The 27,520-nt window shown below is 34.4% G+C and overlaps 1 protein-coding gene across 1 annotated transcript in view, besides 1 other annotated feature; it reads left to right on the top strand.

Moving 5' to 3' along the window:
* Positions 1-27,520, top strand: part of ME1 (malic enzyme 1) — a 220,650-nt gene that overhangs the window by 174,754 nt on the left and 18,376 nt on the right. Inside the window, exons 7-10 of the mRNA NM_002395.6 lie at positions 2,560-2,669; positions 16,662-16,759; positions 18,468-18,581; positions 27,367-27,472. Of these exons, the coding sequence (NP_002386.1) occupies positions 2,560-2,669; positions 16,662-16,759; positions 18,468-18,581; positions 27,367-27,472 (428 nt within the window). The remainder of the gene's footprint in view (positions 1-2,559; positions 2,670-16,661; positions 16,760-18,467; positions 18,582-27,366; positions 27,473-27,520) is intronic.
* Positions 7,741-7,941: a silencer, noted in NCBI's record as "peak5928 fragment used in MPRA reporter construct". NCBI's record gives its function as "represses an SCP1 promoter by STARR-seq MPRAs in K562 erythroleukemia cells {active_cell/tissue: K562}" and the evidence as "EXISTENCE:reporter gene assay evidence [ECO:0000049][PMID:32103011]".

Below are 27,520 nucleotides of genomic sequence, written 5' to 3'. Positions count from 1 at the left end.
AATCTGTAGATTTTTAAGTGGCTATAGAGTACTCATGTGCCAGTCATTGCATTGAGCACTTAACATTTATCACTTCATTTAATCCTGCTAACAGCCTTATGGTAATAGGCTGTTACTATTCTCATTTTTCTGATAGGAAATCAGAGGCACAGAACAGTTAAGGATGCACGGTATGTAAGGAGGACAAGATTGATCCCAGGAGCTCTGACTCCAGAGCCTATGCTTATAAACCAGTATGACAGCCAAGTAAATACTTAAAAAGAAGGATAAAAGATGATTAACAGTACTAAATATTAAAATTACTATAAAGCTGTAGGAATTAAAGCAGGGAGGTATTTTTTTCTTGATAGATTAGTAAGACTAATCATTACTGTTAGACTATCATTACTGAGCAATACCAATGTGGTATACCTGTGTGCCTGTTTCCTCATCTATTGGATGAGAATAATAATAGTGCTTACTTCATAGAGTGGTTGTGAAGAGTAAGTGTGTGTGTGTAATATCTTATAAAGGAAAACATATTTGTTGTCATCAGCAGTAGTAGAATAAAATGGGAAAGCACAGAAACAGACCCTACTATATATCAGAATATAGTATCTAATTATAGGTGATGAGGAGAAGGATGGACTGTTAAATAAATGGTGCTGACATAGTTGGGTGATTATATAGAAAACAGAAATTTTGGTATAGCTTGTTTTTTTAATCTATGGCCTAACAGTAAAAGTATACCAGATTTAGAGGTTAACTATTTTCTAAATCTATAATATAATTAGAGGAAATTTTCATTAATAGTTAAATAAATATATGTAGAGGAGACTGTTGTAAGCATTTCATCAAAGGAGAAACCATAAATAAAAGAATTGAAAGATCTAACCACATAAAAATTTAAAATTTATTTGGTGAAAACAATTAGGAACACTGTCTAAATAATTAATGGCACAGTGTACTAGATTAGAAAAGCCATTTGCAATATATATAACAGAAGGTACTATTCTTAATGAAATAATAAAGAAAACAACTATAACAATGGAAAAATGAACAAGTGAACATAGAATCTCCCAGAAAAAATTACAAATGACAAATAGACATAGAAAAAGATGCTAGGCTACACTAGTAATAAAACAAACAAACAAACAAAAAACGTTAACACCAGTTTTCACCTGTGAATTTTACAGTAATTTAAAAAGATAGTCTACCCAAGATAAATATGTAATTATATATAAATTAACATAATTGAAGGGAAATAACAAACTTACAGAGTTTTTTATTGTATCAGAAGAAAAAGAGAGAAAAATCATCTGCTTTGTGATATCAGGGGGTAGTGGTTTGAGACTGTCCTTGAATTATAATGTTGACAAGAAGTGAGAAATTAGTGCAAGGTTTAACATTCTCTGTTCTGAGAGGTTTGACATCAGAGGGAAGAAAGATAAGTAACTATAGCTTTGATTTTGTCATGGCCAAGGGAGGTGGTCTTAAAATCAGGTAGTCCTGAAAATGCTTGGGGACAGGAAAGGACCAGTAGTAAAGGAGAAATTGCAGCTGTTAGTATAGAGAGGTGCAGTTGATTCAGTTAGGTCCATGGGGAGGTTCGAAACAAGGAAGCAAGAATCATTCTCACAAGTTGAGGAAGAAAATAGACATAAAAGTACAAAATATTTTAATGTAGGGGAAAACTGAGAAGGTTAATAATGTTCTCTCTACCATTGATTTTAGTGAGGTAGTGACTGGTAAGAGACTTGGGAGACCAGGAGAATAAAAGGTTTGTAAAAGCTGCTGCTATGGTCTAATCATTACTATTACATGTTACGTTGTATATGTTGAAATGTAGTCACCATTGTGAAAGTATTAAGAGATGGGGCCTTTTGGGAAGTGATTAAGCCATGAGGACTCAACCTTCATGAATGTTTCATCAGTGCCCTAATAAAAGAGACTGAAGAAAGCATGTTTACCCATGAAGCTAGACGGGAGGAATGGAAGGGCCACAATGAAGATCTGGCCGTATCTTTCACTACACCCTTACATTTACTACCACATTATAGCCAAATAGGGCTTTTAAACCATTTTTTAAACAATTTTTCTTTTTTATCTTTCAGCTCAGTTATTTTGCTTCTATTTTTCCTCAGCTTATAAAACCCCACATCTCTACTTTTGAAATTATAACTATTCATTAAAACTCGTTCATTTGTTGCTTTGTCTTTGATCACAGCCAGAAGTGATATCTATCTTCGGAACACCTATCATTCCTTGTTTATACCACTTTTATATTACTTCTTATTTACTTCAAAAATTTTTGTTTCCACTAAAAGTTAAATTCCTTAAGGAAAGGGAACATATTTTGGTCATTTTATGTTATTTCACAGTGCCAACACAATGCCTTTTCTGTAGTCAGCATGTAAATATTTGCTGAACAGATATTATATTACATATTTATACTTAAGCAGCAAGATAGAACCTTTAAAAGGAAATAATGTTTTCCTATTTCTATGGGCTAATTTTAAAAGTTTATTTTTAAATAGCATTTTATTAACCTCTTCTAATATGAATGTTTTTGTCCCATAGGTATGGCATGAATTGCCTTATTCAGTTTGAAGATTTTGCCAATGTGAATGCATTTCGTCTCCTGAACAAGTATCGAAACCAGTATTGCACATTCAATGATGATATTCAAGGTAACAAAATTTTCACTGCATATGGATCAATAACATGTCTGAAATTAGTTCATAATTGTAATAATGATTCAAATTCAATCAATATATACTGAGTACCTTTTAAATTCCAGGAATTATGCTTGCTGATGTCACATACTATTTCTCATCTAGTTGCATATATTTGAGAAAAGTACTCTCTGACTGTATAATATACCATATTATCAATTAGCTAGAAAATGAGCTCCAAGAAATCTGACAAAATCCCTGGTGATTATGGCTAAACAAAGAATGAAATGTATGAGACCATATTATTCAATGCTTAAAAGTAAAAGTATACATACTTCTCTCTTCAGCCTATCTTAGCCACAATTTTTATGCTTTACCCCAGTAGGAGCTGCCTTTATGTAGTATGCTGCATTTTGCTATTTGTCTTTGATTGTAGATGCTTGGCTACCTGCTTTTGTCTAAGCTGCCAAATTTTTTCCTCTTTAAGCTCTAGTTTTTTAATCCTCTCCAGATCCATGCAGAGCCCACCCCCCAATACACATGTCTTACTATGAGAATCTTACAGGTTCTGTTTCATTATTGGAAGGTAGGGGGAAGCACAGGTAGATGAGCTGAGGAGAAATACCGTAAAGAGGTTTTGCAACTTGAAATGAGATTGCAAATGGCTTCCATTTCACTAATTCCAATGAATGTTTTTCAGTGTTTATCTTATTTGAATTTTCAGCAGCATTCCACATTGTTGACTCACCTTGTTTCTTGAAATACTCTTTTCTGTTGGCTTCCATGTCAGGGCATTCTGCTGGTTTCTTCTTACCTCTTTGGCTGTTTGCCTTTTCTTTTTCTTCTGCAGGTTCATCCTTTCCTGTCTAGCTATTAAATGACAAAACACTTCATTTTTAAATGACCTGCTCAGTGCCAGCTCCTTTTCTTTTTGTTCTGCTGTATGTTCTTAGGTATATACTCAGGTCCACACATTCAATTAGCAAATTTATATTGCCAGCCCAGACTTCTTTGTATTCCAGGTCTATACACCCATGTCTTTATTTAAAATCTCCACTTAGGCGCCTATAATCCCAGCACTTTGGGAGGCCAAGGCAGGCAGATCGCTTGAGCGTAGGAGTTTGAGACCATCCTGGGCAACATGGCAAAACTCTGTCTCTACAAGAAAATACAAAAATTAGCCTGGCATGATGGTGTGTGCCTGTAGTCCCAGATACTCGGGAGGCTGAGGTGGGAAGGATTGAATCCCTTGAGCCCAGGAGGTCGAAGTTGCAGTAAGCCATGATCATGCCACTGCACTCCAGCCTGTGTGACAGAGCCAGGCCCTGTCTCAAACAACAACAACAACAGCAACAACAACAACAGCAACAACAACAACAACAACAACAGAACTCCTGCTGGATATCTCAAAGTTATCTCCTACTTAACCTACTCCCAAATCAAACTCTTATTTCCCCACCAAACCTGACCTTCTTCCAGTGTTCTCCTTTTCAGTGAATTGCTGATAGCTCCCTCTTCAGCTTTCCCACCAAATACAGTCTATCACTAAACCTTTTGCATTTCCTATCATCAAAATCTGTGTTTTTCATAGATTTCTCCTCATCACCCCAGTGCAAATTGCTATCATCTAAGTAATCTATCCACATTTACTCTTGCTTCCCCTTCTTATATGTTTTCTGCATAATATCTCTACAATTTGTCAGATGTAGATCTAAGTGCTCAGGCTTTTGTGGTGAACAGAGATAGTTTTCTTTTTGCTATAGAAATCTGATCTTATTAGTTCTTCCTCAAAATAATTTGATGGATTTTCATTGTACTTAGGATAAAGATGAAAATCCTGAATGTGGCCCAAAATGCATGGTCTGATGCATGTTTCTCTCGTCACTCATTCTAGCCACACTTCCTTTCTCAGGTCCTGAAATGAGCCAGGTTTCTTCTTATTTAAGGGTCTAGCCAAATGTTGATCTCTCATCCTAGAATACCCTTTCTTCCCCTCTTCAAATCTCATCTCAATTATGACATTCATCATTAAACCCTTCTGAATTTCTGGGTCTGGGTCAATTCCACCTCATAGGCTGCCATAGCACTAATTATTTTTCTTTTTTCCTTATCATAGTAGCATTTTTATATATTTATGCAATTTTTTTTTTGAGACAGAGTCTTGCTCTATTGCCCGGGCTGGAGTGCAGTGGTGCAATCTTGGCTCACTGCAACCTCTGCTCCTGGGTTCCAGTGATTCTCTTGCCTCAGCCTGCTGAGTAGCTGGGATTACAGGTGCGTGCCACTGCGCCCGGCTAATTTTTGTATTTTTAGTAGAGATGGGTTTTTGCCACGTTGGTCAGGCTGGTCTCGAGCTCCTGAATGCAAGTGATCTGCCCGCCTCAGCCTCCTAAAGTGGTGGGATTACAGGCATAAGCCACCATGCCTGACCTATTTATGCAATTAAAAAAATCAGTGTCTCCATTCCAACTAAATTTTAAGCTCTGCGAAGGCAGAGAACGTGGGTATTTTGTTCATCACTGTATCATTAACTTGTCATTAACATAGCCCCAAGCCCACAGAAAGTATTTAACGTTAGTGGAACAAATCAATGTAATATGTCTAAAGCAGGGGTTGGCAAAGTACAGTCTGTGAGCCAAATCTAGCCACTGCCTGTTTTTGTAAAGTTATTGCAACAAAGCCATGCCCACTTGTTTATATATTGTTTACAGTGGCTTTCATGCCATAATAGCAGAATTAAGTCTGGGATAGACACTGAATGGCACACAAGCCCTAAAATATTTACTATATTGCCTTCTATGAAAAGAGTTTGCCAACCTTTGGTCTAAAGAATTAAACATGAAAGAGTTGGTGAGTGTTGAACTAAGGAGTTGGTAGGTTGACTTGGGTAGGTTTGCATTTGGAAAGATTATTCACACTGTCTTCAGTCTAGAGAACAGGATTGAATTGGAGCACATTTGAAGGCTGTTGCTGAAATCTATGATGGTGGCATCTTGCTCTAAGAAAGTGCCAGTGAAGTTAGAAGTAGACAGGTAATTAGTTGTTGATAGTGAAGGTGAGAAAGGAGCCAAGGATGGAGCCTAGGCTTTTGCCTTGAAGAACTAGAAGAATGGCAGGGCAGTAACTGAGATGGATAAAGTGAGAGACACTGTTAAATGCAGATGTTAAGAGCTTGGACTATAGAGTCACACTGATTTGCTTTGCCCTTTACTAGCTATGGACTTTGACCAATTTACATAACCTCTCTGTGTTTAATTTCTTACCTGTGGCAGAAAGTTATATAACAGCTTCTATTTTTTTTCTTTGAAACAATAGATCAGAAGTTTGAGGAAAACAAAAAATATATGTAATAGCCTTAAAGAAATATTTATTTCTTTGAAATAAATGTTATTTTCAAGGAAAATAACAATCCTGTTATTTTCTTTGAAATAACAGGATTGGAAGTTTGAGGAAAATAAAAAAAAACAGATCTGAAAGAACTATTGTAGAGAACTAGAGAGCCAACGGACTATGAAACATAAAAGGATTCAGTCAGCAGACATTGCAGATTCAGTTGAAATTAATACTGTAAATGTATCATGATGCTGGCTGAGCAGCTTGAGTTCAACAGTTCAGGAATAGGCAAGGCCACAATGAACAGCTGGATTCATCTATGTTAGATATTTTATTGTATTTGTGCAAAGAAAAGACAATGGGATAAAAGCTAAGGTTAAAATGATGACCATGACCCTAAGCTGGATAGGGAAGAAAGTGAAGATAAAAAGACTGTTAGATGGGGGAAAGGCCTAGACATTCCAATGGGGTTGAAGAATGGGTATAATAAGGATGATTGAATTAGAGGCCTGGGAAGATAGGAGACTGTACACCATGAGTAAAGTATTCTAATGTAGTACTTTCAAGGATTGGTTCCGAGTGATGGCAAGCACAAGATGAAATTTAGAAGGAAGTCAGTCGAAGTGGAATAAAGGTGAATGCTATTGGAAATGAGGTGATCAAAGAAAGTTTAAATGTAAAATGGGGATGATAATGTTTCTCTCATGGAGTTTACATTGAGGACAAAATAATTATTTGTAGAAATACCCTATAAACTGAAAGGTACTTTATAAATAATAATTTTTAGGCCAGGCACAGTGGCTCACACCTGTAATCCCAGCACTTTGGGAGGCCAAGGCGGGCGGATCACGAAGTCAGGAGTTCGAGACCAGCCTGGCCAATATGGTGAAGCCCCATCTCTACTAGAAATACAAAAATTAGCCCAGCATGGTGGCGCATACCCTTAGTCCCAGCTACTTGGGAGGCCCTTGAACCCGGGTGGTGGAGGTTTCAGCAAGCTGAGATCATGCCATGCATTCTAGCCTGGGCAACAGAGTGAGACTCCATCTCAAAAAAAAAGAAAAAAGAAAAAAAGTATATATATAATAATTTTTAAAATTCACCATGCTTAAGTATTTAGTATGGCAGCTATATACATTTAACGGCTTTAAAAATCCTGAGTCTTTATTTCTTTTGAGATACATGAAAGTAATTGGTCAAATCTTTCTTTTCCCCAAATTCTTTGTGATGTTAATTACATTGTTCCTTCAGTGCCAATTTTCATGACAAAGATGCCTAAGTTAAGTAAACTGTGTTTTATTCTTTTTTATATTAAATTTCTTTTTGAGTATTCATGAAAAGCAAATATAGGATTTCAGAAATGGAATAATCTGGAAATTTCCAGGTGTTAAGAATTGTGAGCTATAGAAAGATGGCCTGATTTTAATATTATTTGCATTAGTCTATTTTCACACTGCTACAGAGAACTTTCCTGAGACTGGGTAATTTATGTAAAGGAAAGAGGTTTAATTGACTCACACTTTCTTATGGCTGAGGAGGCCTCAGGAAACTTACAATCATCGTAGAAGGCAAAGAGGAAGCAAGCACCTTCTTCACAAGGCAGCAGGAGAGAGATGAGTGAAGGAAGAACTTCCAAACACTTATAAAACCATTAGGTCTTGTGAGAACTCACTCACTATCACAAGAACATCATGGGTAAAACCGCCCCCATGATCCAATTACCTCCCTCCCTCAACACGTGGGAACTACAGGTCCCTCCCTCAACATGTGGAGATTACAACTTGAGATGAGATTTGGGTGGGGACACAGAGCTAAACTGTATCAGTATTGCATACTAACTTGAAGATACCATGTATAATAATGATAAAGTGCCTTTGGCGCTACAAACACATGCTTTGTAGACCAGTGTTTTTAAGTCACTTGTCAATTCATTTTGCAGTGTTCTCTAAAACAGCCACCAGTAAACTGTTGAACAAAACTACAGAATTCCTTTAATATTGTATATCTTCTGATTTTGTGGGTCTGATGTAAATGTCCATACAAAGTTAAAGACCAGTATTAAATAATTTCTAATTATCATGCAGAGTTAATAGGAAACAGAGTTCAGTTTAAGAAAACGAATGCTAAATTCAAATTATCAAACAAAACAAGCAATTAGGGTCAGGATTTCTATCCATCAAGGCCAGGAATTTAGAGGTCAGGCTCTGGGGTACATCAGAATTAAAGGCGGGGGCACAGGATATCAGAAGCAAGAGCCAAGCCTAGGTCAAGAGCAGTGCAAGAAGGAGCCCTGAGGATCCACAGCATAATATGCCCCCCAAGCAGGTCACCACAATGGAGGCATTAAATAACTAGTTTTTCACGACTAATTCGGCCTAAAATATAATCTGCACATATATAGTCTTTTATTTCCATATAGGAATTTTAAAGTATTACTGCCTTAGGAAATAAAAAGATAGGTTTGAGAAAAATATGTCTAATCTCTGACTAGAGAAAACCTTTGGCAAGTTATTGGGGTTCTGACTAGAAATGACCAAACCGTTTTGTGCACATCATGCAAAATCGTGCCCTTATGACACAGTTTCTCCGTATGGTTCTTTTTTACCTTTTTAACCTTATGTTCTTACCATTATGCCCACAGATGTAATACTTTCCTCTCTGCAGGCACAGAAATTGCATTCCAGTGCCAACAAAAATAATTATCTAACCATTACAGCCTTACCATGTAAATAAATGTGTTTACACTGGACCCTTGGGTGGACTCTTTTCTTTTTTTTTTTAAACACATTTGTTATTTAAAGATATGATTTATGAAAAGTATTTGATTAAAATTGTATATACTTAGAATTCTACTGTTAGTTATCTAAAATAACCTTAAATAATATAGATTTTGATTCAAAATGTATTTTAGACATGAATGCATTCTCATTATAAATTATTTTAAACTGGAAAAAATGCATAAATTGAATCTATTAAGAAATTGGCCACATAATTATATAATCTGAAGACAAACAGAATTCAGCAAATTCAGACTGAAAAAAATAAGGTTTCAACCTCTAGTCATTTAAAATAAGCTACAAAAAGAAATTTTTCTTCTCATAGTAGCCTCTGGAATAGTTACTCTGTAACATGACACTCTAAATATTGCACATAGAAATTTTTGCCATAATAAACTAGTTTGACTTGTTAGTATTTTTAAAAAATACATTTAATATATTAGGCTACATTTTTGTAAATATAGTGAAATCTTATACTGAATGCTTTGATAATTGAAAAGATCAAAATCAGACATGGTAGAACAGATACTCACAAAAGGATACCATGGCCAGTAAACATATTTTTGGAGTTTAGCCTTACTATTAAGTTTTTAAAAATTTATTAAACAGCAAGTGAGAAACTGATTTTCTCTATCAAGCTAGCAAAGATTTTTGTTATAAACCCAACTGTTAATGATGCTTTTAGAAAATGAGCACTCGCATCCATTGATGGTAGAAGTATAGATTGATACAACTTTTGGGGAGCCAGTTTGTGTCAAAAACCTAAAAACATGCAGATCTTTACCTGATACAATTCTTTTGTACAAATTTATCCTGAAGAAATAGTGATGTGCAAATTAAATATACAAAGTATTGCAATGCTATTTTTAATAGCAAATAATCAGAATCCTCTAAATATCTAAAAATAGAGGTTTGGTTAAATGAATTACCATATACCCATAGTATGGAATATTATAACTGTACAAAATAATATTTTAAAATATATTATAGACATGGTTAGGTATTCACAAGATATTTTTAAGAGATAAAAAGCATGTTAAAATAGTAGGTATGGAATGAGGTATTTTTTGTAAATTAAAATTTTTTGAATATACACATATCAGTATGAGACAAAAATTTGTTAAGACTAAACATCAGAATGTTGAAAGTGGTTACAGCTACACAGTGGGATTACAGGTGACTTTTTTTGTCTTTATCTGGATTTTAACTGTTTAATGCATTTACCACAATGAGCATGTATTTATGAATAACTATTTCAACTGAAAAAGATCAAACATGGCACAATTGTTGAGCCATAATATCAAAAATACCTAATATATAATCTTTCATTAGCAAGATAACTTAGTACCAAAGCTTTTTACTTCCATTAGTATTCTTTCCAAAGTGGTATTGTTGTTGATGTTGTAATTTGGAATTTGCCATCATCTCATATCAATGACATTCTTCATTATGTCACCACTTATTTGACAAAATACTAGACATAACTGATCGTAGCAGACAAGTTATACAAAGAAAGAAAGAAAATAGCATTCTGACTATACTTCTTCCTCTTACTCATAGATTTTTCTGAGTTAATACTCATTTAAGACTTACAATTAATATTCTGAAACATTTTTATGTGTAGATCCTATATTTATATGTAGATCCTGTAAGATTTCTTTATATTAAAATGCAAAAAAAATTTAGACTATCTTATTGTATTAAAATGTGTTTTGTCAAATACTTATGAGAAAAAGCTCATGAATTAGAATGTAAGAATATTTTGTTGAATATTTTTATTACAAAAGAATGTAACATGGAAGAATTTTAAAATATTACTTTGCCTCGGCCAGGCACGGTGGCTCACGCCTGTAATCCCAGCACTTTGGGATGCCAAGGCAGGTGGATCACCTAAGGTCACGAGTTCAAGACCAGCCTGACCAACATGGAGAAACCCCGTCTCTACTAGAAATACAAAAAAATTAGCCGGGCATGATGGTGCATGCCTGTAATCCTAGCTATTTGGGACGCTGAGGCAGGAGAATCGCTTGAACCTGGGAGGCAGAGGTTGCAGTGAGCCGAGATCATGCCATTGCACTCCAGCATGAACAACAAGAGCGAAACCCTGTCTCAAAAAAAAATTATTTTGCCTCACTAATAATGACACCCCACTACTTTGGGAAAGAAGTTCATGGTTAAAAGATGGCTTGTTTTCCTGTAACTTCAACCTCTTTCTCTCTATTGCCTTCTTCCCTTTAGTCTATGACCATAGACCATATTTAAATTGATTTCAGTCTTAAAATTATTGCCTCCATTCTATTTTCTTCCCTCCATCAGTCAATGTCTTTCTTCCCTTAAAAACATAAAAATAAGATATTTGCCTCAACCTTGTTTCCCTCCCACCCCATCTCCATCCTCACCCCATTCTTCCTTTTCTTATCTAAGCTTCTCCAAGGAGTGTTCCACACCTGCTCTCCCTGTTCTTCACCTTTTATTTCTTCCTCGGAATACTGCCATCCATCTTCAGCCCTGACATGCATGCCACTAAAAACGGCTCTTTGATAGGTCACAGGTGATGTAATTGCAAGATCCAATAGCAATTTTTCATTTTCTTTCTTGATTGACCTTTGTTCTTTGTCATTACTTCTCTCTGTTTTCAGGTAAGTATATGCTCTTTTACCTCTTTGATAATTTTTTCTCTGTCAATGTGTGTTATAACAAAAATGTGTTATAACACATTTTTCTGCCCTCTGTTCCTTAAATGTTCATGTTCATTTAGGTTCTCTCCTTTAGCCACTCACTCTGAATAATGTTATCATTCCACACGACCTCAATACATGTTTTAAAATTCTAAATATCTGTGGCCCAGATTGTATGTAACTATTTCTTGATACTGCTATCAGAATAACACATGACAGGAAGCACAAGCTTTGTGCAAAAGCTCAAAATTGAACCTCCTAATTTGTTTGCATACCCCCAGCCTCAAATTTCTCAAAACCATCACCCACCACTATTCTCTGAATTTAAAATCTTTAAACACCATCTGCTACCTATAATATATTATAATTATATATACCCATATATACCTATAGGTACTATTAGTATATAGTAGAAGGCCCTACATGATCTGACCCCAAAACTTCTCTAGCCTCATATCACTTTGCATTCTAGTAAGGTGTGTTTGCTTCAGCAACACTGCACACAGTTTCACATGTGTTTTATGTTCTCTCTCCTTTTATATTTTAGAAGGCTGGGCATGCAGATGGAGGTAGTATTCTGAGTCTTTACTGTAAGGTGACTTGGTTGGGCCATTTCCTTAGGTAATCTTCCTTTTCAGTCTCTTTGGATTCCTTCTCTTACACTGCTGAGATTCCACAGAAAAGATTTTTCCAATCTCGCTCCTGATACTACCTTTCTGCCAGTGCTCTTTAAGTAGGAGAAGATTGGAGGGTCTCCGTATTGAGTATGTAAACTTCCAGTTAAGCTTGTTTCTAGTATGGAATCCTTGCCCCCAATTATGCCTGGTGTCTTATACTCCAATGACCCTTTCCAGAAAATGAGCCTCAAGTTTTCTTTCAAACTTCCAGAGTGTGGGGAAGTTGACTATCTTCTAGAAGGAGAGGGGGATGCAGATCTGGGTTTTAACTGATATATATATATATATATACACACACACATATAGAGAGAGAGTTATATATAATTATATATATAATTTATATTATATATTATATTATATAAATATAATATATAATATATAAATATAAGATAATTATATATAAATATAATATAATTATATAATATATAATATAATATAATTATATATTATATAAATACACAATTATTTAATAGATCAATATAATATAATTATAATAGATTATATCGATATAATGTAATTATAATAGATTATATCGATATAATGTAATTATAATAGATTATATCGATATAATGTAATTATAATAGATTATATCGATATAATGTAATTATAATAGATTATATCGATATAATATAATTATAATAGATTATATCGATATAATATAATTATAATAGATTATATCAATATAACATAATTATAATAGATTATATAAATATATAAATATAATCTAATTATATAATATATTATATAAATATATAAATATAATCTAATTATATAATATATTATATAAATATATAAATATAATCTATTATATAATATATTATATAAATATATAAATATAATATAATTATATTTTATATAATTACATATAATTGTATATTATATATAATTAAATATATATATTTAATTTTGAGACAGTATCTCTCTCTGTTGCCCAGGCTGGACTGGAGTGCAGCAGAGCAGTCATAGCTCACTGCAGCCTCAAACTCCTGGGTTCAAGTGATCCTACTGCCTCAGCCTCCCAAGTAGCTAGGAATACAGGCATGTACCATCACACCCAGCTAATTTAAAAAAAAAATTTTTGGGGGGTAGAGATGGGTATCTCTATGTTGCCCAGGCTGGTCTCAAATCCCTGGGTTCAAGCAACCCTCCTGCCTTGGCCTCCCAAAGTCCTGAGGTTACAGGACATAAACCTCTGCACCCTAGCCTTCTTAACAGACTTTTGACCAGCTTCCTGTTTTCACCCTCTCCTTTATCCCTACTTCCAGAGGCACTTGGTGCCTCCTATACCTGGGTTTTTGAGAGTTTTGCTGTATCAGTCTGGTCACTTATTCCCCACTGCCGGCCAACAATTCAGCTTTCTCAAGTCTGCTAAGTCAGTTGCCATTTGCTCATTTAGAAGCCTGTCAGCTTCTAAAATGTTGTTGCTACCCTTTTTTGCTACCCTTTTCTCTTAGTCTTTTTAATTTTTTTCTTTTCGAAAAAGCAGTTTTCTATTGTTTTAGTAGAGTTTGTTGGGGAAAGGAATACTAATTGTGTGTTCAACTTCCATTTCTAACAGGGAGTCATCCCTGCCTTCATGTCTTTGCATATGCTTTTCCTACTCATTGTGTCCTCTTGTCTGAGGTTCTGAAACTCTTACATTAATCAATACTGTGTTCAGGGAGTATGCACTCTAAATGCCTTGACCTTTGCCTAGATAAATTCACCCATCCCCCTGCTACTTCTAGTTCTTGTATTTTACCCAATCTATTTAGTAGCACATGAGGATTATAATTATTTGATTACATATTGATCTACCTTACTAAAATATATATGGTAATTTTAACCAGATTTAACAAATTATTGCATTAGTAGAGGCTATTCTTTGATAAAAGGTGAGACTTTTATTTAACAACCATATGTTGTTATGTTTATGTTTATGTTAAAGTCGTAAGTTTCTAAAATGTTAAGAAAAATTCGATCTGTTTAGTATCTTGCTAACAGTGTTAAGTCCTCTTTAAAACTGATAGTACAGGCGGGGCTCAGTGGCTCATCACGCCTGTAATCCCAGCACTTTGGGAGGCTGAGGCGGGCAGATCACCTGAGGTCAGGGGTGTGAGACCAGTCTGGCCAACATGGCAAAACGCTGTCTCTACTAAAAATACAAAAATTAGCCAGGCATGGTGGTGGGTGCCTGTAATCCTAGTTACTTGGGAGGTTGAGGCAGAAGAATCGCTTGAACCTGGGAGATGGACGCTGCAGTGAGCCAGGATCGCGCCACTGCACTCCAGCATGGGTGACAGAGTAAGACGCTGACTCAAAATAAAAAAATAAAAATAAATACAAAAACTGATAGTATGAAGATAAACCTAAGCACGAATTCTGTCTGACTTATAAAAAGCTTAGTTTTAAATCTTAAAGTAAAACTTATTATGGAATAATTTATTGTAAAAATTTACAGTTTTATGAAATTTCAATTTTCTACATGTATTCCCTTCTCTGCAATGAAATTTAAATCAAGGTAGTACCAGGCCATGTACAAGAATCATGTTCAAGTTAAATTTTTGATAGTGCTAAAAATATCTTTCTGATTTTATTAATTAATTCTATAAATGGAAGATTAGTGTTTTCATTGTGTTCTCAGGAAATATTATGAAATATATCTTTAAATATAATGTATGAACTTAACACATTTTGAGTTTTAAGTGATCTAGCATAACCATATGAAATTAAGGTACCAAATAGGATATTTTAGAATATTTTCTGTCTATCTGACCGTAAGTGTCCAATTCGATGTAAATAAAAATAATAATACAAATACAGTGATTGCTGATGATACTTCAACTTTGATGCTTCAATTGGTTAAATCTTATAGAAACCCTTAAAATCATAGAATCTCAGAGTTGGAAGGGAGCTTAGAGTTCCCCAGATCCAAACTTCTGGGCAGTTTACTTCAAAAGAACCCAAGAGAGAGATAGCTTGAGCTACTATTTCTGAATAACTTCTTATTTAGTAAGTGGATATCTATACCTCTCTTTCTAGTTTAAATTCTCTTTCATCTGTTTAATGACTCTAGTGAATATATCTTGCATGGGGAAAATATCATTCTAATCATGTCATGATATATTCTCTACATACACTAGCCATATTTTTTGCATAGATTTTCACCTTAAGTAATGTATAGAAGAGTGGCTTTTTCATAATATATGACTTAGCACAGTTCATAATTATTGCAATAGTGACTCTAAATTGCATGCATTTTATTTTTGTAGTACACATTGTGATCCTAAAGAAAAGGCACATATGGGACTAACAGGCCTTCAACAATTATTGTTTATTGTGTTCTTATTTGCGGCTACCTAATTATACAAGAAAGAAACTAAAAGATTGAATAGAACAAATTTACTGATTGTGAAATGTTGATTACCTTTGATACTTGACATACATAACGCTTCATCGTTGTGTCATTCATCAAACCTAGTCTAATCTTTGTTTTAACCATAATGTTAAATAAGGGTATTTAACGTTTAGCTAGGCTTTACTACCCAGCTGAGTGATGTAGGAAACATTATAGGTAGAATGTTACCTTGGAGGAGTAAAGTATAGATACAGCTGGAAAGTGTTGCAAGAAGCTGCTGCTTTATTAGCCATAAAGAAGTTGAGCTGTGTAATTACACTTAAAGCAAGAGAACTGCTTTGTGATCTGTGAATGCTTATATGGTAAAGTAATATAATTGGAACTGGTGAAGTTTTTATGCCTATGAGACATGATGAGGAAAATATAATTTTTATCTTAAGAAATTTTGCATTAGTTTTGTCTAGTACCTTTGGGATCCACCAGTGATTTTCATAGGTAAAAAGTCTATTAAATGATACAATATAATTAGATTTTACTTGCCATTAACATTAAATTCCAAATGTATCAAAAATATTATGAGCACCAATACCATCATCAGCAAGAATTTACTATTTGTGTCCTCCTATCTCAGGTTCTGAAACTCTTACATTAAGAGTTTCTTTGTGTGAAGAAGAGTTTCTTTGTGTGAAGCCTACTTTGTGTGAAGAAGAGTTTCTTTGTGTGAAGCCTTCTTTGTGTGAAGGGGATCATTAATAGATTTCAAAACCCCAAGAGTAATTAGACGGAAGAATCTAATAGCACTTATTACTCTTTTATATCATAAAGTAAAACTACTTTACAGATGAGGAAACTATCTATTTGATGTACACAATAATTTCTCTAAATTCTTTCAGCTAGTCAGTGGGTTGTTGAGCTAGAATCTGAGGAATCCAGATCCCATCCTTTCATTGATTATGTCACTAAGATAAGTCACAGAATCTTCTTTTAGGGAAGTTTTCAAGAATAGTAGTAAGCTGCTATCTTAAAATATTGATGTCAGTAGCCTGGGAATTTTACCACGTATGCAAGCATGGGATAAGACAACCACAGGTTTCTCTTCTGTACCAGTTAACCTGTTTTATGATTATTTCAAGTTGTGAATAAAAGCTTGAAAATTGGCAGGATCTGTTTGAGGATTACTCAAGGATATTTATTACTTGTTTCAGGAACAGCATCTGTTGCAGTTGCAGGTCTCCTTGCAGCTCTTCGAATAACCAAGAACAAACTGTCTGATCAAACAATACTATTCCAAGGAGCTGGAGAGGTATTTGCCTTGTGTAATACTTATGTTCTCCTAAACTAACATATAATTAGTGTTAATTGCTCATTAACTCAAGATTTGACGTATTCTTTCAAATTTTTAGTATATTATGACTGTAGGCTTTATGGAAGATTCCCAAATTAAGTACTGAGACATATTAATTATTCATAGGATAATTTAGTACAGAAGTAATGAGATATTTTTCACAGTTTTAAATTTGTGGTATTATCAAATGTTGCCGTAGGTATTTGTTATGCATATCTAAGGTGCCATACAGGAAAACTTTCCAATGTATGTGTATATATGCAAGCTTTTATGTATTTAAGCTGGTTTATCTGATACTGGCTTTTAGTATACTCCAGTGTTACAAAAACAAGTTTTTAAAATTTGACTCACAATTCAGTGTGTATGTATGTAACTACATATGTGTTTTTAAGAAAAAACATTTTGAATTAGGGATTTGTAGTATATTATTACTGTTCACATGCAAAAATCCCAAAATATTTTAAATTGTTGGAAAGAGACTGCAGCAAAACCAAATTATGCTTTGTTATTACTTGCTTAATTTAATAATCTGAAAGAAGAAAACTAGACTCCTGTAATAATAATTCATCCCCAAACTAGAAATTAAAATGTTAGTTGAGTTTGAGTTTCTTATGGGAAAACTGCCAAAATCTCTTTAGAATTATAGAATGTAAGTAATAGAGAAATATTTTGTGGCTATATATATATATATATATATTTTTCAAGAAACTTTAAATTTTCAAATTGAATATGATTATGAACACAACAATATGTTACACTGGTAGATCATTGTTTATGTCATATTGGTTTTCATTTTGCTTGTTTTTAGATAAAACAAAATATGTGAAGTTAGAATTCAAATGCCACGATACAAATATGTGAAAGTATTCAGAATGTAAATCACAAATTCACTTTCACATTGAAATAAAAATCAAGGCTAAATGACAGCTCATTAACATTTGAGTTCTCTATTTTGCGGATTATTACATGCTGTATTTAACTTTAGTAAACCTCTTTGAATTTTCAAAGGGTTTGATGAATGGCACAGGCCAGTTCTTGATACTCAACTAGGCAGAAGAATTCATGGTTGGATGATTCAAAACTAGCACTTGTTTGTCCCTGGAAAGATATTGGAAATTTCACAGATAATTATAAAATTTACCAAATACCAAGGAAGTTGATTCCTTTAATCTTGCAATAAATTTCACAGCACTTTTGGTATCCAAATTAGAAGAGTAAGTAGATGCTTGGAAACACAGATCTTTTATTTTTCATCAGTTTCATTCTGTTGCCTAATTGGTCAAGTTCCCATCCAAATGACCAAGCTTCTTTCTTCAAATTCAATTAGAGTAGCTTGAACCTAACAATAAACAATACAGTTCAATGAGCAAGGTTGACCAGTTCATTATTTTGAATTCAGTATTTTTTCTTGGAGCAAATCTTGGTTGTATTAACAGGATTAAATACACTGACAATCAAGGATATCACCAGTTTATCTGTGGCCAAATAGCAAGCCACATAATAGTGGCTCTGTTGTAGTAAAAAGGGTAAATAATTGTTATTTGGCTTAACCTAAATGTGACAAAAATATTTTGTTCCCACTAACAAAGACAAAATGGGGTGAAATGTAACCCTTAATAAGATATCATGTAGAACAACTTTAAAATTTTTTCTTTTCATCACTGAGGCTGCCCTAGGGATTGCACACCTGATTGTGATGGCCTTGGAAAAAGAAGGTTTACCAAAAGAGAAAGCCATCAAAAAGATATGGCTGGTTGATTCAAAAGGATTAATAGTTAAGGTAAGAATTTGTCATTTTTAACCAGAATAAAGATAACTATGCCATTCTGGATGGCCATCTCAAAGACAACTCTGTTTCTACCACCTCCCTTTACACTATATTAAAAGAGTAGCCATTAAATACAAATGATCATGTCATACAGAATACTGATACTCTTCTGAATAAAGAAAACTATGACTTAGGAACAGATTCCATCTGCAATGTGAGTCGGCTCCTTACACCCCTTTGAATTGACAGTCCATTTGAATTAGTTTAGTTTTCTTTCTTTCTTTCCTTCCTTTCTTTCCTTTCTCTTTCTTTCTTTCTTTTTCTTTCTTTCCTTCCTTCCTTCCTTTCCTTCCTTTTCTTTCTTTCTTTCTTTCTTTTTCTTTCTTTCCTTCCTTCCTTCCTTTCCTTCCTTTTCTTTCTTTCTTTTTCTTTCTTTCCTTCCTTCCTTCCTTTCTTTCTTTCTTTCTTTCTTTCTTTCTTTCTTTCTTTCTTTCTTTCTTTTCTCTCTCTGTCTCTCTCTCTCTCTCTGTTTTTGAGGTAGGGTCTCACTTTGTCACTCAGGCTGGAGTGCAGTGATGCCTCCATGGTCACTGTAGCCTTGACCTCCTGTTTTCAAGTGATCCCTATCCCACCTTAGCTTTCTGAGCAGTTGGGACCACAGGCCGCCATATCCGGCTAATTAAAAAAAAAAAAAACTGTACAGCTTTCACTGTGTTTCCCAAGCTGGTCTCAAACTCCTGAGCTCAAGTGATCCTCCTGCCTCAGCCTCCCAAAGTGCTGGGATTTACAGGCATGAACCACTGCACTTGGCCAGTTTAGTTTTAAATTTAGCAATTTGATATTGATACAGATGAAACACCTAGATATATCACTTTTTATTGAGAGTTGGTGATCAAATTGTACATTAGCTAGAAAGAAATGAGGAAAGAAATGAAATAGCTACCCTTTACCTGCTACTTCCTCTCAACCAAATTCTTAAGGGTTTGAATGGGAATTCCTGAGAGAAAACTTTGATAAATAGCTTGTTTGAATGTTATCTTACCTGAGCTTGAGTTTCTCCATCTTTAATAGTGATAATAGTATCTACTTCATAGTATTATTTTGAGAACTAAATAAAATTAGGTTTGTGGCCATATTGCTATATAGTTATAAGGCATTATTAATACTTGTGCCACCTGTGCATATCAATCATTCTTTAAACTGCTAGAAAAAAGTACATATAAATCCCCTTCCTATGTGAAGATGAATGATTAGGAATAAATAATGGTAAGCAGTGTCTTCCGGAATTTAGTATAGAAGTAAATGTGAATGTGTACATACAGACTTTCTGGAAAGCTGTTTTATGTGTATTCAAAGCCTTTAAAAGTTTATATTTTTGAGCCACTAGTTTCCATTCAAAGAATCTATCTCATGGAGATAGAGATGTATACAGTATTTTATGTATGAGGATATTATTGCAGCATTATTTACAATAATGATATGGTTTATCACACATTAATTATAATAGTGATATGTTACACTTACCTAAATAAAGGATGATTGTCAAATGAATTGTGGAATAGCCACATTAGTATATTGTATAGGCTTTAAATTGTTTTCAAAGAGCAATAAATGACATGGTAAAGGATTCATAATATAATGTTAGGTGAAAAAAACAAATACCATAGTATATATTATTTTTTATTTAAAATACAGTTGTATATGAAAGTCATAGAAGGAAATATATCAAATGCATATTACCTTAAAACATTTATTTCTAATGTCTTTTTTATATATTTTGAATTTTTAGTAATCTGTTCCTTTAAAGCTAGAAAAATATTTGTTTTTTAAAATTAATATACATAAATATGTTTCTTTAAATGAAGAAAAAATATATGCATAACTTTTGTAGTAAATAAGTATATATAAAGACAGAGGCTTTCAGTATGGATTTCTTGGCTTAAAAATTGCTATTGCTGGCTGTGCGTGGTGGCTCACGCCTATAATCCCAGCACTTTGGGAGGCCGAGGCGGGTGGATCACGAGGTCAGGAGATCGAGACCATCCTGGCTAACAGGGTGAAACCCCGTCTCTACTAAAAATACAAAAAAAATTAGCTGGGCATGGTGGTGGGCGCCTGTAGTCCCAGCCACTTGGGAGGCTGAGGCAGGAGAATGGTGTAAACCCAGGAGGTGGAGCTTGCAGTGAGCCGAGATCGCGCCACTGCACTCCATCCTGGGTGACAGAGCGAGACTCCATCTCAAAAAAAAAAAAAAAAAATAGCTATTGCTTTGAAGAATCAGCATAGTATGAAAATTTTGTACACTGTCATCATGTGACAAGTTGTGGGCATGAAATAAGAATGTTTATTGAATAAAACCACCTATGGATCGGGTGTTGTTCTAGACTCTGGGGATTCAATAAAGCCCTTGATCTTAGGAAGCTGATAGCCTAGTGAGAAAAATTCAAGCCACTAGTTACAGAACTAGAACCATATGAAAGTATTATAAAAAATATGTTCATGGTGTCAAGGTGCACAGGAGATGATGCTCCCAACTGCACTAAGGAAAAAGATGGGAGTACTGAGGAAGATATCAAGACAACGTGTCTATTAAGCTAAGTTGGAAAGCAAGAGTTAGGAGTTTATCTAGGGTCTCCATGGATATCTTAAATTTCCTATATACAAAACTGAAACAAAGGAAATATGATGGCAAGTTCACTGAGAGATCTTGATAGAAGCTAAAGATGATGCCTTTCATCTCTTTAGATCTTCAAAGTTCTATACAGTGTGTAGTACATGCCTGACAACAAATATTTTGTTAATAAATGAGTGAATAAGTCACTTTACAGACAGGAGAACCAGCATGTACAAAATAAAATATTTTGGTATAAGGGACATTTACAGATTATATTAGAAAGGAAGCAGATGATAAGAGATGAAGGGCTTTCCGAACCCTGAAGATGAGCAATTAAACAAACCTGTGCAGGGGGGTTTGCCTCTCCTTTACTCTGATGGCATTGTGGAGGATGGATTGCAATGAGGGGAAACTGAGAAAAAGAACTAGTTACAAAGCTGTTGCAATAATCCAGATAGAAATTAATTGGGGCATAACCAGAGGTGAGTGAAAGAAACTTAATTCAGTAGGTATTTAGGAAATAGAAGTGGCATACTTAGTAACTGATGAAATATGGAAGGAGGAATAGGGTGGAGTGGAGGAAGGAGTCTAGATGGACTCCTTGGGGTCTGTCTAGTAAGGAATAAAGAACAGACCAATTTAAGGGAAGTAACAGGATCAGTTTCACACATAGAAAGTTTAAGGTGATTGTGGAGACCTCAGACAGAGATGTCCCATTGGCAGTTGGAGATACGGGACTGATACAGAGGATAAGTGTCTGGGTTGGAGATAGGGATCTGGGGGTCATCACCATGTAAATAGTAGGAATAGTAGGAGCTGTGGAGAAAGCTATACAAATTGTTGTCCTTAGGGATATAAAATATTCAAAAGTCCAAAAAGTGGAAGTCTATGTGGTTTTATTTTGTTGTCTCTGATGACATTTTTACCTGAAATCTGTGTAAAAATACATAGATTTTAGCATCTTGAATAATTTTAACACACATTTACTGAGCTGAGATTCCAGAGTCCATGGATATAATACTTGGAATAACTGTGAAGTAGTTGGCTAGATCTAGTCAGTCTCTCTTACTTCGTGTCTTTTACTTGCCAAAATAAAGAAGTTCATATATTCTGCTTGCCAAGATAAAATTACATTTTAAAAGGTTGTTATATATTTAATAGCTTGTACACTATTTAATATAAAAGATACATATTAAGTTTCACTTTTTCTTTCATGCTTTTAAACAGTCAAAATCCTTATATTGACTTTTGTTGCAGAACTAAGCCTTAGAATAACCAGTAAATTAGTGTAATCCCATTTTCAAATTTACATGATTCTTTTGTGTTTTTTATCCTTCATTCTTAGTACTTTTATATCTCCTGAGAACCAATAATAATAATTTTATTAATTTTATTAACTTATAATATAATTGTTTATAAAATGTAAAAATACCATAAAGTTTTAAATAAAAAATTTTCTTGGTGAAACTCCACTTTTTAAAAACACCATGTCAAAAACTCAAACATGAACTGTGAAGTCAGCTCATCTTTGAAGTTATATCATCATCACGCTAGATAATTATTATTCCAGCATATTTTCTCTTTCAACTTTCAACATCACAGGCATAGCATTTTCCATCATTTACACCATATCCATATGTGCAGTGGAAAGAGTTAATGCTATAGAATACCAATATTGTAAATAATTCATCCATATCACCAAGGTTAATTGAAGTCAATTACTTGGTTATGGATCATACTCAAATATCTTTGTACTTTATAGTAATAAACATAAGATGCTTTAGTTTTTTATAGTGGAAAATAATTTATATATTAATTTTGTCAACTAATATTAATACATTTTAATGTAAAACTAATACTTAGTTTTAAAAAACCTTCCAAAACAAAAATTAAAGTAAGAATAAAGACAGTGAAAAGAGAATGAAAAGGGAATGTTGCCTAGTATTTGCATTTTGCAGTGAAGATTTGGAGCATTTTCAGGAGGATAAGAAGCCACAAAACAAACCAGGTTTAATCTTTGTCTTAAATAAATATTATATTTTCGCTCTCACTAATAAACGAAATTAATGCTGACAGAACTTCAAAATAAAAAGTAGGATATTAACAGACCTTACGAAGGATCGATTTCATCTAACCCAGAATGAAGCCATAGACTGGTTTGAATTTCGTTTTTATTTTTATTTTATTTTGTTTTGTTTTAAATAATTTTGCTGTACTGTATTTTTCTGACTTATAGTTAAATGTTTAGCTCCTGTAGAAAGAGATGGTCAATAAAGGTATATTGTATGTTATAAAGGTAGTTTTGACAATATAGTTATTTCATTCCTGAAAGTATAATCTCTAGGTCGAGGGCTTGAAACTACAGACTATATAGTTTATCTGCTATTTTATCAGAATTTTTGACTGGTGCTGCCTTCACCCTGAATGATGGTTAATACATTTCATACAATGTGGTTTAATAAAAAATTCTAACTCCAAATAGACTATGTAAGCTGGTAAAAAGTATCTGGCTTGATTGTTTTCTCCCTCTTTTTTATTTCAAATAGAGTATGATCAATGCATGTAGGTATTAAAAAGAACAGAGGCCAAAGATTATATGCATGAGTCTTAGAAAATTATGAATATTGATTTTTAACATACAAAATTAAATACTGATGGAGTTCACCACCTACTATCTTACATTAAAAACACTCCATGCCCCTTACTATACTTTTGTCACATAATTTATCTTAGTTTAATCTGTCCTGAGATGATGAAACACAGCTCTGGACTCTTTTAGCAAGTGCACATACCTGATTTGCAACAAATGCAGTGAAATGCTACTGACTATGTGCTGAGAAAGCCCTGTCCACAGATCCAAAGAGGGGCCAGGTTCAACTCTGATAAACTAATGACATGACAGCAAAAACAGGCCAGTAAATTGGGGGTAGGTAGTCCAACTGGGGCTTGTGGAAGAGTTTTTCTAGTCCCTGTATGTAGGAAGGAATAAATATTTATCACTGGTAATCTAGAATTAATTTACTTATTCCTATCCTGGGCTGTGGAATAATAGCCCAAAATCTTGGCAGCCTTTGCCCCCATTCTCCTCCCTATGCCCACTATAAACATGTGCTTTTGAAAAGGTAGTAATTAAATCTGGTTATATCTTCTACGATATAGTAAGAATCATCACAATATAAAGGGATAGGGGAGATTAAAGTAATAATATCACAAATAAAGTTTCAGCTATCCATAATATGTTTGAGGTAATTAGAGACTCTTGAAAAAAACAGAGAGAGAAAAGATGCATCATAGAATTTGGGATTTCTGAGGTGAGAGGTGCCCACATGCACTTTGCCAAAAGAAGGCAAAAGGATTTCAGCAAGGGATCCTGAAAAGGGAGAATGAAGGGAAAAGACATCTACTCATCTCCATACCAACTGAAGTTATTGGCATAACGAATATGTATTCCAAATCAGATTTTGAAAAATAAAGAAAAATAAGCCATTAGTCTAGAAAATAGAAGTCCAAAGGTACAGGTAGTTGCCTCAGTATTACCGGATTTAGAAAAGGTTGTCACATTCCAGTAGTTTCTTTAAACTAGGTCATCAAGTCAATTTTGAAAATGGTAGAGAACATACTTGGGAGACATTTTGTGTGTGTGTCTTTTGCTTCTTCTGTTTTGTCAAGTAAGACCTTCAGTATTGCTAGTATTACCATTTCGTGATTCCTGGACTTTTTTCAGCATTCTTTCAGCACTTGTAAGTCATACCAGGAATCAAGCCTTTGAAAGTGTTGCCATGGGTAATTTATGCTTCTTACTAGATGGAATGTCTTCTGGCTAAGTTCTGGCTTCAGTGTCTAGGAGCTGCCAGTGGGTATACTATGATTAATAAAGATGTTTATGATTAAGTATATATCTTTTTCTTTTCATACATTATTCATCTGTCTTTTTTATTATTTGTTTCCCATTCTAGGCAATTTAAATATTTTTCATTATATCTCAGCTTGACAGCCAAAAAAGCTGTGACTTCCAATTTATCTTATTCTATAGCTTTTCTTCTTTAGACTCATTATTGTATACTTTTTTGAAAACATAGCACATAACCTCTTAAAAACGCATGTGGTAGGGATATGATAGATCATTTAGTACACTGATTCTCAAAACTGGCTAATCATTTCTTTTTTTTATTTTTTATTTTTTTGAGACAGAGTCTCGCTGTCGCCCAGGCTGGAGTGCAGTGGTGTGATCTTGGCTTACTGCAAGCTCTGCCTCCTGGGTTTATGCCATTCTCCTGCCTCAGCCTCCTGAGTAGCTGGGACTACAGGCTCCTGCCACCACGCCCAGCTAATTTTTTGTATATTTTTAGTAGAGACGGGGTTTCACCGTGTTAACCAGGATGGTCTCGATCTCCTGACCTCGTGATCCGCCCGCCTCAGCCTCCCAAAGTGCTGGGATTACAGGCATGAGCCACTGCGCCTGGCCTACAGCAGATTATTAATAGGAGAAAATATACCAAAACTTTAAGTGCTGGAATTATGATTTTTTTCTTCTTCACAAAAATTTTAATTGCAACAACAACTAGCATAGAGCTCTTACTATAAACCAGGTACAGTCCTGAGTGTTTTACATGCATTACATTTCATTTACCCCACAAACAACCTGATGAGGTAGAAGTCCTTATTATCCTTATTTACAGATGAGGAGACAAGCACAAAGAGGTTCATATGTTTCAAATTTTTTAATAATTCAGTATATTGCTTTTAAAAACAGAGCCTGTCTCTACTAAAAATATAAAATTAGCCGGGCACATGCCTGTAATCCCAGCTACTTGGAAGGCTGAGGCAGGAGAATAGCTTTAACCCGGGAGGCGGAGGTTGCGGTGAGCCGAGATCGCGCCACTGCACTCCAGCCTGGGCAACATGAGCAAAAACTCTGTCTCAAAAAAAAAAGACAAACAAAACAAAATTAAAAACAACAACAACAACAACAACAACAAAAAAAAACAGAGCCTGGCATGGTGGCTCACGCCTATAATCCTAGTGACTCAGGAGGCTGAAGCGAAAAGATCACTCCTGAGGCCAGAAGTTCGAGACAACCCTGGGCAATATAGCGAGACCCCCATCTCTAAAAAAAAATGATAAATTAGCCAAGCATGGTGGTGCATGCCTGTAGTTCCAGCTACTAGAGAGGCTTAGGTGGGAGGATCCCTTGACCCCAGGAGTTCAAGGCTGCAGTGACCTCTGATCCACAGCACTCCAACTTGCATGACAAAATGAGACCTCATTTCAAACAAACAAAAGCAACAGAAATAAAATGATAATACCCTTTAAAGAAAGAAAATTGTACTATCTTCATTATTAACAATTTGCAAAGACTATGACATACTATTTGTTAAGTTTTTGCCCGGGGTGATTCTGTGCTATATTGAAAAGGCTTTGAGTTCTAGTACAATCTCTTGCCTTGAGCAAGTCCCTTAAAACCTCTGAACATGTTTCCGCATATGTAAAATGACTATACTTATACTTGTCCTGCTTCTCAGAATTGTTGAGGGGATCAAATGAAATATGTGAAAACAACTTGTAAGTCATCAAGTACCATATAAAATTAGGCAGTGATCCATTATGTAGTCAAATCTTTAAAATTTGCAGCTAGAATATTATAATTAGATGTTTACTAGATAACACATGGCGCATTCATAATCAGAACATTAAAAACAAAAACATATAAAATGCATACTTACTGAGAAAATCTAACAATGACATAAATATGACTTCAAATTCTTTTCTTAGTCAGTAGCATAAATTGGTAGGGCTAAAGCTGAAGCCAACTCCAAATTCTGAGACCTGCTATAAAACACAATGTGTGACGAACAATATAATTATTTAAATTATATTTTGCATGGCCATTTGTTAATGCTAGTTCTCACATGTCTGTAAAATTAGGATTTTTAATATCAATTAAATGAAGGACTTTGTTTTGTTCACTGTTACATCTCCATTGCCTAGAACATTGACATATAAATATTTGTTAAACGAATGAATGAAATAACATTCTGACAATTGAAGAAGAGATTTTAAGAATAGCTGTAACACATCATACATAAAAATGTTAAGCATAAATATTTGTAATATATGTACCGAAATTTATTGACCCTCACATGTTTGGCAGATTCTTAATTTTTTCTTACTGGCTTTACTTAGGGACGTGCTTCCTTAACACAAGAGAAAGAGAAGTTTGCCCATGAACATGAAGAAATGAAGAACCTAGAAGCCATTGTTCAAGAAATAAAACCAACTGCCCTCATAGGTAAGCATTTTCTCCTCTCCCTTCTCCCCTACCCCTTATTTTGACCTG

Source organism: Homo sapiens, chromosome 6 (assembly GCF_000001405.40).
Source record: "Homo sapiens chromosome 6, GRCh38.p14 Primary Assembly".
Lineage (NCBI taxonomy): Eukaryota > Metazoa > Chordata > Mammalia > Primates > Hominidae > Homo > Homo sapiens.
This window is presented reverse-complemented; position numbering and strand designations above follow the sequence as displayed.